The sequence below is a fragment of the Homo sapiens genome, chromosome 8 (assembly GCF_000001405.40).
Source record: "Homo sapiens chromosome 8, GRCh38.p14 Primary Assembly".
Lineage (NCBI taxonomy): Eukaryota > Metazoa > Chordata > Mammalia > Primates > Hominidae > Homo > Homo sapiens.
The window spans coordinates 118,917,617-118,935,196 of record NC_000008.11 but is presented as its reverse complement, the minus strand read 5'-3'; the positions used below and the strand labels follow the sequence as shown (position 1 = coordinate 118,935,196).

Here is a 17,580-nt window from a genome sequence, read left to right as displayed (position 1 = left end):
AGGAAAATTCAAGAAGATGCTTTCACTAGAAACTCTCAGGTCAAGGGAATGTCCTGAAAAGACCACTGAAGCAGCTCTGAGCTTGCAGTGAATTTTGCTTATTGTTGGTTGGGAGTTCCTTGCATTACAGCACTCACTGTCTTTGAAAATTGTCTCTGTGAAGAGGTCAATGACCGGATGAGATGTTTCATTCTTCTCTTCTGGTTTATCAACTCATATTAGGTCAAATCAGCCCAAACACTTGCCATGTTCCCATAAGAAGTGAATGAAGTTACTTCAGTTAAAATGTTCAAATGCTTATGAAAAAGGCCATTCTTTATCTTTGCCACCCCTAATTCAAAAGGGTGTGCTGTTTCCCTAGCTTGGCATGCCTTTTCCAGGTCAGGGGGTTCCTGTGAGATTTCCTGAATTCTGCAAAGAGAGTTTGGAAAAAATTATTGTTTGGTTTACCACCTCCCCAAGGCCTGAAAATAGTCAGTGTTGATCTCTGTACCAAAAACAAACAAACCACCCCCTACACACAAAAAACACAGTTTCTTCTGAGCGTGTGATTCCTGTAATTAGTGTGAAGAACTACTTCAGTGCTCCCTGGAAGACCTTTGGGGATCTAAAATACAAGACAGAATACCCAGTTGAAACTCTCCTTCCAAGTGGCACCCTTGCCCATGAAATCCTCTTTCCCCTACTGCACAGGCCTCTTCCTGCCATTATGTATGGAAACTTCTGATCCCTGCCTGCTCCCTGAAATTTATCCCAGTACACCTGAAGAGATGTGGTCAGTTAATTTACTTAATATTGTTTTTAGATGTCATTCACCTATGAGAGTCAAGACTGCTGGTCAATATGATGTTTAGAGAAAATATCAACCTTACATTCGAGGAATCTTTTCGGTGAACTGCAAGCTTATGGCAACAGGGGACATGTCTGACTCACCAGCATATTCCTGGTGCTTGACACCTAGTAGGCATTCAACCTATATCTGTTGCATGAATGAGTAATAGGAATGATTGTTGTAATCATATACCTTCGCATATCACCAACTCTTCAGTATTTTCTTGGAATCCAAAAGTCTTAGAATAGGAAAACTGAAAGAGGTATCCTTTAGTCCCCAATATGAGCACCGTGCTTAGAAATGTTAATCTCCCTATTTTCCCCTCCATGTTTCCAGGCTTCTTTACCTGCTCTCTCTCCTTTTTTAAAACAATACTTGCGTAGTTTATTATAATGTATTATTTTTACTCCTCTAATTGGATTAACTCCATAAGGGCAGAATTTCTTGCCTATTTTATTCAGAATTGTATCCCAAGTGCCCAGAACAAAGTCTGGCACATACTAAGGGCTCAGTTAATTATTTGTCAAATGAATAAATTAAGAGATGATTATTTAGTATGCATCCCAGGCGTCAGAAACACTGCAGGTGTTTTAAATCCCCAGGCCCAATCCCACATCCCCACATCGGTGGAATAAGAATACTTAAGGATATGAATCCCAGGAATCTATATTTTTAACAGGTGATTTGTGTAGCTGTTCTGAGAATTACCAGTTAATCCAACTCACTCACCTAGAGATAATCCTGCAACCCAAGACGACAAAGTGTCTTTCAAGTCACATGGTAATTCAGCAGTGCATCTAAGTGTTATAGTTCTATTTTGATGGGCTTTCTACTCCAGTCATCTTTGAGCCTGGATTTTAGTTAATATGTTCACTGCTATCTGCATTCCTGGTCTTTGAGATTAAGCTCCCGGAGGCAAAAATTATGGCTTCCAAGCTTACTTTGTGGCAAATCTCATTAGGCTTAAGGTAATACAGGACTTTGAGTCAAATGATACTGTTGCACATAAGAACAAACCTATTTTCATGCTAAGATGATGCCACTGTGTTCCTTTCTCCTTCTAGTTTCTGGACATCTCCATTAAGTGGACCACCCAGGAAACGTTTCCTCCAAAGTACCTTCATTATGACGAAGAAACCTCTCATCAGCTGTTGTGTGACAAATGTCCTCCTGGTACCTACCTAAAACAACACTGTACAGCAAAGTGGAAGACCGTGTGCGCCCCTTGCCCTGACCACTACTACACAGACAGCTGGCACACCAGTGACGAGTGTCTATACTGCAGCCCCGTGTGCAAGGAGCTGCAGTACGTCAAGCAGGAGTGCAATCGCACCCACAACCGCGTGTGCGAATGCAAGGAAGGGCGCTACCTTGAGATAGAGTTCTGCTTGAAACATAGGAGCTGCCCTCCTGGATTTGGAGTGGTGCAAGCTGGTACGTGTCAATGTGCAGCAAAATTAATTAGGATCATGCAAAGTCAGATAGTTGTGACAGTTTAGGAGAACACTTTTGTTCTGATGACATTATAGGATAGCAAATTGCAAAGGTAATGAAACCTGCCAGGTAGGTACTATGTGTCTGGAGTGCTTCCAAAGGACCATTGCTCAGAGGAATACTTTGCCACTACAGGGCAATTTAATGACAAATCTCAAATGCAGCAAATTATTCTCTCATGAGATGCATGATGGTTTTTTTTTTTTTTTAAAGAAACAAACTCAAGTTGCACTATTGATAGTTGATCTATACCTCTATATTTCACTTCAGCATGGACACCTTCAAACTGCAGCACTTTTTGACAAACATCAGAAATGTTAATTTATACCAAGAGAGTAATTATGCTCATATTAATGAGACTCTGGAGTGCTAACAATAAGCAGTTATAATTAATTATGTAAAAAATGAGAATGGTGAGGGGAATTGCATTTCATTATTAAAAACAAGGCTAGTTCTTCCTTTAGCATGGGAGCTGAGTGTTTGGGAGGGTAAGGACTATAGCAGAATCTCTTCAATGAGCTTATTCTTTATCTTAGACAAAACAGATTGTCAAGCCAAGAGCAAGCACTTGCCTATAAACCAAGTGCTTTCTCTTTTGCATTTTGAACAGCATTGGTCAGGGCTCATGTGTATTGAATCTTTTAAACCAGTAACCCACGTTTTTTTCTGCCACATTTGCGAAGCTTCAGTGCAGCCTATAACTTTTCATAGCTTGAGAAAATTAAGAGTATCCACTTACTTAGATGGAAGAAGTAATCAGTATAGATTCTGATGACTCAGTTTGAAGCAGTGTTTCTCAACTGAAGCCCTGCTGATATTTTAAGAAATATCTGGATTCCTAGGCTGGACTCCTTTTTGTGGGCAGCTGTCCTGCGCATTGTAGAATTTTGGCAGCACCCCTGGACTCTAGCCACTAGATACCAATAGCAGTCCTTCCCCCATGTGACAGCCAAAAATGTCTTCAGACACTGTCAAATGTCGTCAGGTGGCAAAATCACTCCTGGTTGAGAACAGGGTCATCAATGCTAAGTATCTGTAACTATTTTAACTCTCAAAACTTGTGATATACAAAGTCTAAATTATTAGACGACCAATACTTTAGGTTTAAAGGCATACAAATGAAACATTCAAAAATCAAAATCTATTCTGTTTCTCAAATAGTGAATCTTATAAAATTAATCACAGAAGATGCAAATTGCATCAGAGTCCCTTAAAATTCCTCTTCGTATGAGTATTTGAGGGAGGAATTGGTGATAGTTCCTACTTTCTATTGGATGGTACTTTGAGACTCAAAAGCTAAGCTAAGTTGTGTGTGTGTCAGGGTGCGGGGTGTGGAATCCCATCAGATAAAAGCAAATCCATGTAATTCATTCAGTAAGTTGTATATGTAGAAAAATGAAAAGTGGGCTATGCAGCTTGGAAACTAGAAAATTTTGAAAAATAATGGAAATCACAAGGATCTTTCTTAAATAAGTAAGAAAATCTGTTTGTAGAATGAAGCAAGCAGGCAGCCAGAAGACTCAGAACAAAAGTACACATTTTACTCTGTGTACACTGGCAGCACAGTGGGATTTATTTACCTCTCCCTCCCTAAAAACCCACACAGCAGTTCCTCTTGGGAAATAAGAGGTTTCCAGCCCAAAGAGAAGGAAAGACTATGTGGTGTTACTCTAAAAAGTATTTAATAACCGTTTTGTTGTTGCTGTTGCTGTTTTGAAATCAGATTGTCTCCTCTCCATATTTTATTTACTTCATTCTGTTAATTCCTGTGGAATTACTTAGAGCAAGCATGGTGAATTCTCAACTGTAAAGCCAAATTTCTCCATCATTATAATTTCACATTTTGCCTGGCAGGTTATAATTTTTATATTTCCACTGATAGTAATAAGGTAAAATCATTACTTAGATGGATAGATCTTTTTCATAAAAAGTACCATCAGTTATAGAGGGAAGTCATGTTCATGTTCAGGAAGGTCATTAGATAAAGCTTCTGAATATATTATGAAACATTAGTTCTGTCATTCTTAGATTCTTTTTGTTAAATAACTTTAAAAGCTAACTTACCTAAAAGAAATATCTGACACATATGAACTTCTCATTAGGATGCAGGAGAAGACCCAAGCCACAGATATGTATCTGAAGAATGAACAAGATTCTTAGGCCCGGCACGGTGGCTCACATCTGTAATCTCAAGAGTTTGAGAGGTCAAGGCGGGCAGATCACCTGAGGTCAGGAGTTCAAGACCAGCCTGGCCAACATGATGAAACCCTGCCTCTACTAAAAATACAAAAATTAGCAGGGCATGGTGGTGCATGCCTGCAACCCTAGCTACTCAGGAGGCTGAGACAGGAGAATCTCTTGAACCCTGGAGGCGGAGGTTGTGGTGAGCTGAGATCCCTCTACTGCACTCCAGCCTGGGTGACAGAGATGAGACTCCGTCCCTGCCGCCGCCCCCGCCTTCCCCCCAAAAAAGATTCTTCTTCATGCAGAACATACGGCAGTCAACAAAGGGAGACCTGGGTCCAGGTGTCCAAGTCACTTATTTCGAGTAAATTAGCAATGAAAGAATGCCATGGAATCCCTGCCCAAATACCTCTGCTTATGATATTGTAGAATTTGATATAGAGTTGTATCCCATTTAAGGAGTAGGATGTAGTAGGAAAGTACTAAAAACAAACACACAAACAGAAAACCCTCTTTGCTTTGTAAGGTGGTTCCTAAGATAATGTCAGTGCAATGCTGGAAATAATATTTAATATGTGAAGGTTTTAGGCTGTGTTTTCCCCTCCTGTTCTTTTTTTCTGCCAGCCCTTTGTCATTTTTGCAGGTCAATGAATCATGTAGAAAGAGACAGGAGATGAAACTAGAACCAGTCCATTTTGCCCCTTTTTTTATTTTCTGGTTTTGGTAAAAGATACAATGAGGTAGGAGGTTGAGATTTATAAATGAAGTTTAATAAGTTTCTGTAGCTTTGATTTTTCTCTTTCATATTTGTTATCTTGCATAAGCCAGAATTGGCCTGTAAAATCTACATTTGGATATTGAAGTCTAAATCTGTTCAACTAGCTTACACTAGATGGAGATATTTTCATATTCAGATACACTGGAATGTATGATCTAGCCATGCGTAATATAGTCAAGTGTTTGAAGGTATTTATTTTTAATAGCGTCTTTAGTTGTGGACTGGTTCAAGTTTTTCTGCCAATGATTTCTTCAAATTTATCAAATATTTTTCCATCATGAAGTAAAATGCCCTTGCAGTCACCCTTCCTGAAGTTTTAACGACTCTGCTGTTTTAAACAGTTTAAGCAAATGGTATATCATCTTCCGTTTACTATGTAGCTTAACTGCAGGCTTACGCTTTTGAGTCAGCGGCCAACTTTATTGCCACCTTCAAAAGTTTATTATAATGTTGTAAATTTTTACTTCTCAAGGTTAGCATACTTAGGAGTTGCTTCACAATTAGGATTCAGGAAAGAAAGAACTTCAGTAGGAACTGATTGGAATTTAATGATGCAGCATTCAATGGGTACTAATTTCAAAGAATGATATTACAGCAGACACACAGCAGTTATCTTGATTTTCTAGGAATAATTGTATGAAGAATATGGCTGACAACACGGCCTTACTGCCACTCAGCGGAGGCTGGACTAATGAACACCCTACCCTTCTTTCCTTTCCTCTCACATTTCATGAGCGTTTTGTAGGTAACGAGAAAATTGACTTGCATTTGCATTACAAGGAGGAGAAACTGCCAAAGGGGATGATGGTGGAAGTTTTGTTCTGTCTAATGAAGTGAAAAATGAAAATGCTAGAGTTTTGTGCAACATAATAGTAGCAGTAAAAACCAAGTGAAAAGTCTTTCCAAAACTGTGTTAAGAGGGCATCTGCTGGGAAACGATTTGAGGAGAAGGTACTAAATTGCTTGGTATTTTCTGTAGGAACCCCAGAGCGAAATACAGTTTGCAAAAGATGTCCAGATGGGTTCTTCTCAAATGAGACGTCATCTAAAGCACCCTGTAGAAAACACACAAATTGCAGTGTCTTTGGTCTCCTGCTAACTCAGAAAGGAAATGCAACACACGACAACATATGTTCCGGAAACAGTGAATCAACTCAAAAATGTGGAATAGGTAATTACATTCCAAAATACGTCTTTGTACGATTTTGTAGTATCATCTCTCTCTCTGAGTTGAACACAAGGCCTCCAGCCACATTCTTGGTCAAACTTACATTTTCCCTTTCTTGAATCTTAACCAGCTAAGGCTACTCTCGATGCATTACTGCTAAAGCTACCACTCAGAATCTCTCAAAAACTCATCTTCTCACAGATAACACCTCAAAGCTTGATTTTCTCTCCTTTCACACTGAAATCAAATCTTGCCCATAGGCAAAGGGCAGTGTCAAGTTTGCCACTGAGATGAAATTAGGAGAGTCCAAACTGTAGAATTCAAGTTGTGTGTTATTACTTTCAAGAATGTCTGTATTATTAACTAAAGTATAAATTGGCAACTAAGAAGCAAAGTGATATAAACATGATGACAAATTAGGCCAGGCATGGTGGCTTACTCCTATAATCCCAACATTTTGGGGGGCCAAGGTAGGCAGATCACTTGAGGTCAGGATTTCAAGACCAGCCTGACCAACATGGTGAAACCTTGTCTCTACTAAAAATACAAAAATTAGCTGGGCATGGTAGCAGGCACTTCTAGTACCAGCTACTCAGGGCTGAGGCAGGAGAATCGCTTGAACCCAGGAGATGGAGGTTGCAGTGAGCTGAGATTGTACCACTGCACTCCAGTCTGGGCAACAGAGCAAGATTTCATCACACACACACACACACACACACACACACACATTAGAAATGTGTACTTGGCTTTGTTACCTATGGTATTAGTGCATCTATTGCATGGAACTTCCAAGCTACTCTGGTTGTGTTAAGCTCTTCATTGGGTACAGGTCACTAGTATTAAGTTCAGGTTATTCGAATGCATTCCACGGTAGTGATGACAATTCATCAGGCTAGTGTGTGTGTTCACCTTGTCACTCCCACCACTAGACTAATCTCAGACCTTCACTCAAAGACACATTACACTAAAGATGATTTGCTTTTTTGTGTTTAATCAAGCAATGGTATAAACCAGCTTGACTCTCCCCAAACAGTTTTTCGTACTACAAAGAAGTTTATGAAGCAGAGAAATGTGAATTGATATATATATGAGATTCTAACCCAGTTCCAGCATTGTTTCATTGTGTAATTGAAATCATAGACAAGCCATTTTAGCCTTTGCTTTCTTATCTAAAAAAAAAAAAAAAAAATGAAGGAAGGGGTATTAAAAGGAGTGATCAAATTTTAACATTCTCTTTAATTAATTCATTTTTAATTTTACTTTTTTTCATTTATTGTGCACTTACTATGTGGTACTGTGCTATAGAGGCTTTAACATTTATAAAAACACTGTGAAAGTTGCTTCAGATGAATATAGGTAGTAGAACGGCAGAACTAGTATTCAAAGCCAGGTCTGATGAATCCAAAAACAAACACCCATTACTCCCATTTTCTGGGACATACTTACTCTACCCAGATGCTCTGGGCTTTGTAATGCCTATGTAAATAACATAGTTTTATGTTTGGTTATTTTCCTATGTAATGTCTACTTATATATCTGTATCTATCTCTTGCTTTGTTTCCAAAGGTAAACTATGTGTCTAAATGTGGGCAAAAAATAACACACTATTCCAAATTACTGTTCAAATTCCTTTAAGTCAGTGATAATTATTTGTTTTGACATTAATCATGAAGTTCCCTGTGGGTACTAGGTAAACCTTTAATAGAATGTTAATGTTTGTATTCATTATAAGAATTTTTGGCTGTTACTTATTTACAACAATATTTCACTCTAATTAGACATTTACTAAACTTTCTCTTGAAAACAATGCCCAAAAAAGAACATTAGAAGACACGTAAGCTCAGTTGGTCTCTGCCACTAAGACCAGCCAACAGAAGCTTGATTTTATTCAAACTTTGCATTTTAGCATATTTTATCTTGGAAAATTCAATTGTGTTGGTTTTTTGTTTTTGTTTGTATTGAATAGACTCTCAGAAATCCAATTGTTGAGTAAATCTTCTGGGTTTTCTAACCTTTCTTTAGATGTTACCCTGTGTGAGGAGGCATTCTTCAGGTTTGCTGTTCCTACAAAGTTTACGCCTAACTGGCTTAGTGTCTTGGTAGACAATTTGCCTGGCACCAAAGTAAACGCAGAGAGTGTAGAGAGGATAAAACGGCAACACAGCTCACAAGAACAGACTTTCCAGCTGCTGAAGTTATGGAAACATCAAAACAAAGACCAAGATATAGTCAAGAAGATCATCCAAGGTATGATAATCTAAAATAAAAAGATCAATCAGAAATCAAAGACACCTATTTATCATAAACCAGGAACAAGACTGCATGTATGTTTAGTTGTGTGGATCTTGTTTCCCTGTTGGAATCATTGTTGGACTGAAAAAGTTTCCACCAACTGATAATGTAGATGTGATTCCAAAAACAGTTATACAAGGTTTTGTTCTCACCCCTGCTCCCCAGTTTCCTTGTAAAGTATGTTGAACACTCTAAGAGAAGAGAAATGCATTTGAAGGCAGGGCTGTATCTCAGGGAGTCGCTTCCAGATCCCTTAACGCTTCTGTAAGCAGCCCCTCTAGACCACCAAGGAGAAGCTCTATAACCACTTTGTATCTTACATTGCACCTCTACCAAGAAGCTCTGTTGTATTTACTTGGTAATTCTCTCCAGGTAGGCTTTTCGTAGCTTACAAATATGTTCTTATTAATCCTCATGATATGGCCTGCATTAAAATTATTTTAATGGCATATGTTATGAGAATTAATGAGATAAAATCTGAAAAGTGTTTGAGCCTCTTGTAGGAAAAAGCTAGTTACAGCAAAATGTTCTCACATCTTATAAGTTTATATAAAGATTCTCCTTTAGAAATGGTGTGAGAGAGAAACAGAGAGAGATAGGGAGAGAAGTGTGAAAGAATCTGAAGAAAAGGAGTTTCATCCAGTGTGGACTGTAAGCTTTACGACACATGATGGAAAGAGTTCTGACTTCAGTAAGCATTGGGAGGACATGCTAGAAGAAAAAGGAAGAAGAGTTTCCATAATGCAGACAGGGTCAGTGAGAAATTCATTCAGGTCCTCACCAGTAGTTAAATGACTGTATAGTCTTGCACTACCCTAAAAAACTTCAAGTATCTGAAACCGGGGCAACAGATTTTAGGAGACCAACGTCTTTGAGAGCTGATTGCTTTTGCTTATGCAAAGAGTAAACTTTTATGTTTTGAGCAAACCAAAAGTATTCTTTGAACGTATAATTAGCCCTGAAGCCGAAAGAAAAGAGAAAATCAGAGACCGTTAGAATTGGAAGCAACCAAATTCCCTATTTTATAAATGAGGACATTTTAACCCAGAAAGATGAACCGATTTGCCTTAGGGCTCACAGATACTAAGTGACTCATGTCATTAATAGAAATGTTAGTTCCTCCCTCTTAGGTTTGTACCCTAGCTTATTACTGAAATATTCTCTAGGCTGTGTGTCTCCTTTAGTTCCTCGACCTCATGTCTTTGAGTTTTCAGATATCCTCCTCATGGAGGTAGTCCTCTGGTGCTATGTGTATTCTTTAAAGGCTAGTTACGGCAATTAACTTATCAACTAGCGCCTACTAATGAAACTTTGTATTACAAAGTAGCTAACTTGAATACTTTCCTTTTTTTCTGAAATGTTATGGTTTTAATTTCTCAAACTTTTTCTTAGAAAACTGAGAGTGATGTGTCTTATTTTCTACTGTTAATTTTCAAAATTAGGAGCTTCTTCCAAAGTTTTGTTGGATGCCAAAAATATATAGCATATTATCTTATTATAACAAAAAATATTTATCTCAGTTCTTAGAAATAAATGGTGTCACTTAACTCCCTCTCAAAAGAAAAGGTTATCATTGAAATATAATTATGAAATTCTGCAAGAACCTTTTGCCTCACGCTTGTTTTATGATGGCATTGGATGAATATAAATGATGTGAACACTTATCTGGGCTTTTGCTTTATGCAGATATTGACCTCTGTGAAAACAGCGTGCAGCGGCACATTGGACATGCTAACCTCACCTTCGAGCAGCTTCGTAGCTTGATGGAAAGCTTACCGGGAAAGAAAGTGGGAGCAGAAGACATTGAAAAAACAATAAAGGCATGCAAACCCAGTGACCAGATCCTGAAGCTGCTCAGTTTGTGGCGAATAAAAAATGGCGACCAAGACACCTTGAAGGGCCTAATGCACGCACTAAAGCACTCAAAGACGTACCACTTTCCCAAAACTGTCACTCAGAGTCTAAAGAAGACCATCAGGTTCCTTCACAGCTTCACAATGTACAAATTGTATCAGAAGTTATTTTTAGAAATGATAGGTAACCAGGTCCAATCAGTAAAAATAAGCTGCTTATAACTGGAAATGGCCATTGAGCTGTTTCCTCACAATTGGCGAGATCCCATGGATGAGTAAACTGTTTCTCAGGCACTTGAGGCTTTCAGTGATATCTTTCTCATTACCAGTGACTAATTTTGCCACAGGGTACTAAAAGAAACTATGATGTGGAGAAAGGACTAACATCTCCTCCAATAAACCCCAAATGGTTAATCCAACTGTCAGATCTGGATCGTTATCTACTGACTATATTTTCCCTTATTACTGCTTGCAGTAATTCAACTGGAAATTAAAAAAAAAAAACTAGACTCCATTGTGCCTTACTAAATATGGGAATGTCTAACTTAAATAGCTTTGAGATTTCAGCTATGCTAGAGGCTTTTATTAGAAAGCCATATTTTTTTCTGTAAAAGTTACTAATATATCTGTAACACTATTACAGTATTGCTATTTATATTCATTCAGATATAAGATTTGTACATATTATCATCCTATAAAGAAACGGTATGACTTAATTTTAGAAAGAAAATTATATTCTGTTTATTATGACAAATGAAAGAGAAAATATATATTTTTAATGGAAAGTTTGTAGCATTTTTCTAATAGGTACTGCCATATTTTTCTGTGTGGAGTATTTTTATAATTTTATCTGTATAAGCTGTAATATCATTTTATAGAAAATGCATTATTTAGTCAATTGTTTAATGTTGGAAAACATATGAAATATAAATTATCTGAATATTAGATGCTCTGAGAAATTGAATGTACCTTATTTAAAAGATTTTATGGTTTTATAACTATATAAATGACATTATTAAAGTTTTCAAATTATTTTTTATTGCTTTTTCTGTTGCTTTTATTTGAATGGGACATTAAAGGGTCTGAGCTTTCATAATTTCCCTGTTATCACCAGGACATCTGGGAAATGCTAAAAATGCAGATTCCTGCACCAATTTGTTGAAAAACTCTGCCAATGAGAGCAGAAACTTGCATTTTTAACAAGTTCCAAAGTAATTCGTATTACACTAAGACTGGAGAACTTCTGAAGTCAGCCTTAGATTACAGATAGTGCAAGCCACTTATAACTGCTGCCACTAACCCTGAGACACCAAGCTACGTAAGCTATTTTGGTAGCAAATAAGAGAAACTGGCACTATTAAGTTTAAGAAAAATAATAATTGGAAGAGTAGTGTATTGATTGAGTTGAATGGTGGTCGCCCAAAAGATATTTTCATAATTCACAGAAGCTGTGAACATTTCCTTATGTAGAAAAAGTGTCATTGTACACAGGGAGGGAAACATTGCTCACTGGGGCCTGTTAGGGGCTGGGGGTGCTAGTGGAGGGATAGCATTAGGAGAAATACCTAATGTAGATGAGGGGTTGATGGGTGCAGCAAACCACCATGGCACGTGTATACCTATGTAACAAACCTGCCCATTCTGCACATGTATCCCAGAACTTAAATTTAAAAAAGAAGAAGAAGAAGAAGAAACTGGTTTTGGGGAATTGCATAAATTAAATATAAAGTAGGATATAGCTATAAAAAATAAATAGCTCTCCATTTCAGGCTGCTCAATTCTTTGGCATAAATTTATCTGAAGGGTGACATACACTTGTACTCATTTTTAACTACATCTAAAGCTGAATTAATAATAAAAACCTTAACTTTATAAAAAAGGAAAAAGTATCATTGTAATTAAGTTGAGGATCTTTAGATGAAGAAAGCATTTTAGGTTATTCAGGTGGGCCATAAATCCAATGACAAGTGTCTATGAGACACACAGAGTAAACAAACAGGAGAGAAGATGATGTGAAGACAGAGGCGGAGGTGGAAGTCATATAGCTGTTAAGTCAAGGAAGCTAAGAGCAGCCAGTAATGGGCTGCCCCCACTCTGCTGGAGCCTCTGTAGGGAGTGGGGCTCTGCTGACATCTGGATTTTGGAATTCTGGCCACCAGAACTGTCAGAGAATAACTTTCTATTGTTTGAAACCGTGCAGTCTGTGGTAATTTGCTGCAGCAGCCACAGGACACTAACAAAGATGGCATCCAAGCTTTAAAAAGAGCAGAATCAATTATTTTTGGGAGGGGGGCGGGGAGTGGTGGCTCAAAATTTTTTTATTTTCAGAGCTTGCAACAGTTGCTTAGCAATACTAGCTAAGCTGATACAATCTGAAGGCCATCCCACCTTTATCTTTAAGCATTTGACCAATAGAATCTCTTGCAAACAAGATCACAGACCATTTGGGATCTGTCTCAAGGAGTGCATGGGAAGAGGTCCTCTCCCCCATATACTTTTCTAAACAAGATTGTTTTATAGCCAAATGCAGTTCAAACCCATAACATAGCAACTAATCATCTTCAATATCACCGGTTCCCCCTATCCCCAGAATAGGAAGTTGAGGTAAGAGGGGAGAGACTGTCTTCTGTTGTAAGAAAAACCTAGCTACACCTCAGTGAGGCAATGATGGCAAGGAGGCTGGCACCGGAGGATGGAGACGAGTAAGTGCTAAAACAGGCCTCTCTAGAACTCTGGGTCCTTTGGGGCAGAAGGTCCAACTCTTCCTCCTAGTCAAACATCTTTGTATCTTTTAGTTCCAAATCCCAAATTCCCAGGAAGGAGACTCTAATGATCTTAGGTTGAGATTCATGTAAAGACATGGCCATTGAGGGTCTGTCCTTGTTTAATAGTTGTACTTCCCAGGAAGATGATATCATTGTGAATGGGGCCCAGTAACTAATTCCTATCCCTTCCTAGTGTATATTGCCTTCCTCACTTTACTATGACTTAGAATTTTTTATTTTTTATTTTTTATTTATTTATTTATTTATTTATTTTGATGGAGTCTTGCTCTTGTCGCCCAGACTGGAGTGCAATGGCGCGATCTCGGCTCACCGCAACCTCCGCCTCCCGGGTTCAAGCGATTCTCCTGTCTCAGCCTCCCGAGTAGCTGGGATTACAGGCATGCGCCACCACGCCTGGCTAATTTTTTTGTTTTTTTTAGTAGAGACGGGGTTTCACCATGTTGGCCAGGATGGTCTCGATCTCCTGACCTCGTGATCCGCCCGCCTCGGCCTCCCAAAGTGCTGGGATTACAGGCGTGAGCCACCGCGCCCGGCCTGACTTAGAATTTAGAGTTGACATAGACCATCCCTGTGAAAGCAGATTTGTGAAATTAGATGAGTTATGGCCACCTTGATAGAAGAGTACATCTAGGTAAATATCACACAGACTCATAAACCTGGAAAAATTAAAAGTGAAAGTGAAAGTGAAGAGGCTCTAACCTGGGTAACAGGCCTCCCAATGTTGCAATACTGGACATGACAAAAGTGGCCAAGAGTTAACTAATAGGCTTCATTTTCCCTTCAGCAGCTCCAGTTATTCCCTCAAAGTTCTTTCTAGAAAATGAAATGGCCTACACAACTCTGCAAAGTTTAAGAAAAGTTTGAAAGTTCATGTCATCAAGGCTAAATTATTCAAATGCTTATTTGATTGGTCTCCCTGGCTGCTCCTTTGGGTTCTGTTTACTTTGAACTTCTCTTCCAAGGGAGATAAAATTTGAAAATATCATGCCAGTCCTTTTTTTTTTTTTTTAATTGAGATGGAGTCTTGCTCTGTCACCAGGCTAGAGTGAATGCAGTGGCATGATCTTGGCTCACTGCCACCTCCGCCTGCCAGGTTCAAACGATTCCCCTGCCTCAGCCTCCTGAGTAGCTGGGACTACAGGCATGTGCCACCACACCCGGCTAATTTTTTGTATTTTAGTAGAGACGGGGTTTCACCATGTTGGCCAGGATGGTCTCCATCTCCCGACCTCATGATTTGCCTGCCTCGGCCTCCCAAAGTGCTGGGATTACAGGCGTGAGCCACCGTGCCTGGCCTCTATTTTTTTAAAAAAATGTAATTCTGAATTCATTTTGGACTTACAGAATCACTGAAAAGATAGTAAATAGTTTTCTAGTATACCCTTCACCTGGCTTCCTCTAAAATTATCATTTTTCATAACCATTATTCACTCATTAAAAGTAAGAAATTGGCTGGGCGTGGTGGCTCATGCCTGTAATCCCAGCACTTTGGGAGGCCGAGGCGGGCGGATCACTGGGTCAGGAGATCGAGACCATCCTGGCTAACATGGTGAAACCCCGTCTCTACTAAAAATACAAAAAATTAGCCGGGCGCAGTGGCGGGCACCTGTAGTCCCAGCTACTCAAGAGGCTGAGGCAGGAGAATGGCGCGAACCTGGGAGGTGGAGCTTGCAGTGAGCCGAGATCAGGCCACTGCACTCCAGCCTGGGTAACAGAGCGAGACTCCGTCTAAAAAAAAAAAAAAGAAGAAATTAATCTTAGTCTAACACTATTAACTAAACTGCCAACTTTACTGAGATTTTCCCAGTGTTTGCAGTGGTGTTCGTCCTCTGTTTCAAGACCAAATGAAGAGCCCATGTTGCATTTTGTCATTACCTCTTCTTAGTCTCCTGTGATCTGTGACAGTTTTTCAGTCTGTGTTGTCTTTCTTCAGCTTGGCACTTTTTGAAGAGAAGTGGTCAGCTCTTTTGTAAAATATCCTTCAGGTTTTGTTTTTGTGATATTTTCTCATGAATAGACTGAGATTATGGGTTTGGGAAGGAATATTGTGAAATCCATAACTCTTCTCATTGCATCCGATAGGGGGCCAATCATATCAGCATGACTAATTACTGTTGATGTTAATTTAAACGTGCTGACTTGGTTAAAATGGTTTTGCCAGGTTTTTCCACTGTAAAGTTACTATTTTCCCTTCATATACTCTATTCATTAGAATTATTTGTTAGATCGTTAGATCTAGCCCACATTCAAGGAAAGGAAAATTAAACTCTTCATATTGGAGAAAAATATCAAGGAATTTGTGGTAATATATTAAAACTACCACAGATTTAGTCACTTTAGGGAAGAGATTCTCAGAGGCTCTGAAAAAAACCATTTCTCCTTAAAGATTCTTCCACTAATTTTAGCATTCATCAATCAGTCTTGCCTGCAGCAACTGTTATTGTGCATTTCTAATGGGGATTTTCTATTTCCCTCATGCCCCCTACATTTAAATGCTTTCATTCTCTTCTATTTGTGTCAATCATTTACTTATATGTTTATGGGCTCAAGAATATTAATGTTATTCTTTGGATTACATTCCAATAATATCACTATTTATGTTGCTCAAATTGTTTCAGCTTTGGCCATTGCCTCTGTGCCCTTTCAATATGACCCTCCCCATCCTTATTTTCTTGGGCATTTTGTGTTCTCTGGCACTAGTAGATTCTCCATGCTCATCTTGCATTTCCTCTTCCCCAACCCTAGAACCAGGCATTTTTCTTTTTATTCTAAAGTGGTATTTAAAAACCACAATCAAGGTGCTAGGTGTGCTCTTTGCTACTGAGGTATCACTGCTTCTAGGCCATTTCAGTAGACAGAGCTAGTAAATAATATGTATGTTAACCCATGTATGTTTACACATACTTATTTCTATATCTATATACATATATATTCTGTGTAATACACACAGCTATATAAGTCACTAGGTTCATTCTAGCCTTCACTCTCCTTCCCCCTGATTATTTGTGTCATCCTCCTGAGAGTGAGAAACATGGCTCACATTATATGTAATTTATGTATTTGTTAACCTCAGATGCATGTAAAGTATTTTCAGATTTTCTAAGAGGTATCCCTGTGAGAAACAAATTTATCAACTAGAAAACAGTATTATTTTACAGTTCTTTTCATCTTCAGCTTTACAGTATGCATTCAAAACATTTTTCAAAGTCACTTGGGCCAACTCTTTTGTCCTCACCCCTTCTGTGAAGTTACATCATATATTGAAATAGTTACATTTAATTCTTATAGTCTACATTCTATCCTGGAGAATCCCCCTATACCCTGCATGATTTTTTTAATTTGCATACAATTACATACTTTTTGTGGCAAACCAATGGTTTTGAAAACAGCATAAAATCACGTATCCACCAACATATTGCCATACATCACAGTTCTGTTACCCTACCAATGTCTCTGGGTAGCTCCTTTGTAGTTAGTCTGTGCTCCCTCCATCAACTCCTAGCAACCACTGAACTGTTTCCCATTCTTATAATTTTGCCTTTTCTAAAATGTTATATAAATTGAATCATACAATATGTTGCCTTTTTTGTGACTGTTTCCACATGGCAAAATGCACTAGAGATTCATCCATATTGCTATGTGAATTAATAGTTTGCTCTTTTATCTTTCTGAGTAACATTCCATTAGATGAGCATTGTTTCAGTTTTCCATTCACCTGTTGAAGTAGATCGTAGTTATTTGCTATTTGAGATGATTACAAATAAAGTTACTATAAATTTTGCATATTAATTTTTATGTGAACATAAATTTTCAACTCACTTGGGTAAATACCAAGGAATGAGATTGGAGGGTTATATGATAAGTTTATGTTTAATTATAAGAAACTACCAAACTCTTTTCCAACTTGGCTGTACTATTTTGCTTTTCCAACAATAAATGAGAGTTCTTAGTGTTTTACATTCTTGCCAGAACCTCATTTTGTCAGGTTTTATTATTTATTTATTTTTTAGCCATTCTTACATTGTTTCATGGGATCTTATTGTACTCCTAATTTGCATTTGTCTAATGACTAATTGAATTAGTTTACTGGGGCTGCCATAATAAAATACCACAGACTGGGTGCTGAAACAACAGAAATTTACTTCCCACATTTCTGGAGGCCAGAAGTTCAAGGTCAAGTTTCTTTCAGGCTT

General features: G+C 38.3%; 1 protein-coding gene across 1 annotated transcript in view; it reads left to right on the top strand.

Moving 5' to 3' along the window:
• The window catches only part of TNFRSF11B (TNF receptor superfamily member 11b), a 28,329-nt gene extending 16,689 nt beyond the window's left edge, over positions 1 to 11,640 (top strand). Inside the window, exons 2-5 of the mRNA NM_002546.4 lie at positions 1,897 to 2,266; positions 6,268 to 6,459; positions 8,479 to 8,703; positions 10,435 to 11,640. Coding sequence (NP_002537.3) covers positions 1,897 to 2,266; positions 6,268 to 6,459; positions 8,479 to 8,703; positions 10,435 to 10,823 — 1,176 coding nt within the window. The 3' untranslated portion in view covers positions 10,824 to 11,640. The remainder of the gene's footprint in view (positions 1 to 1,896; positions 2,267 to 6,267; positions 6,460 to 8,478; positions 8,704 to 10,434) is intronic.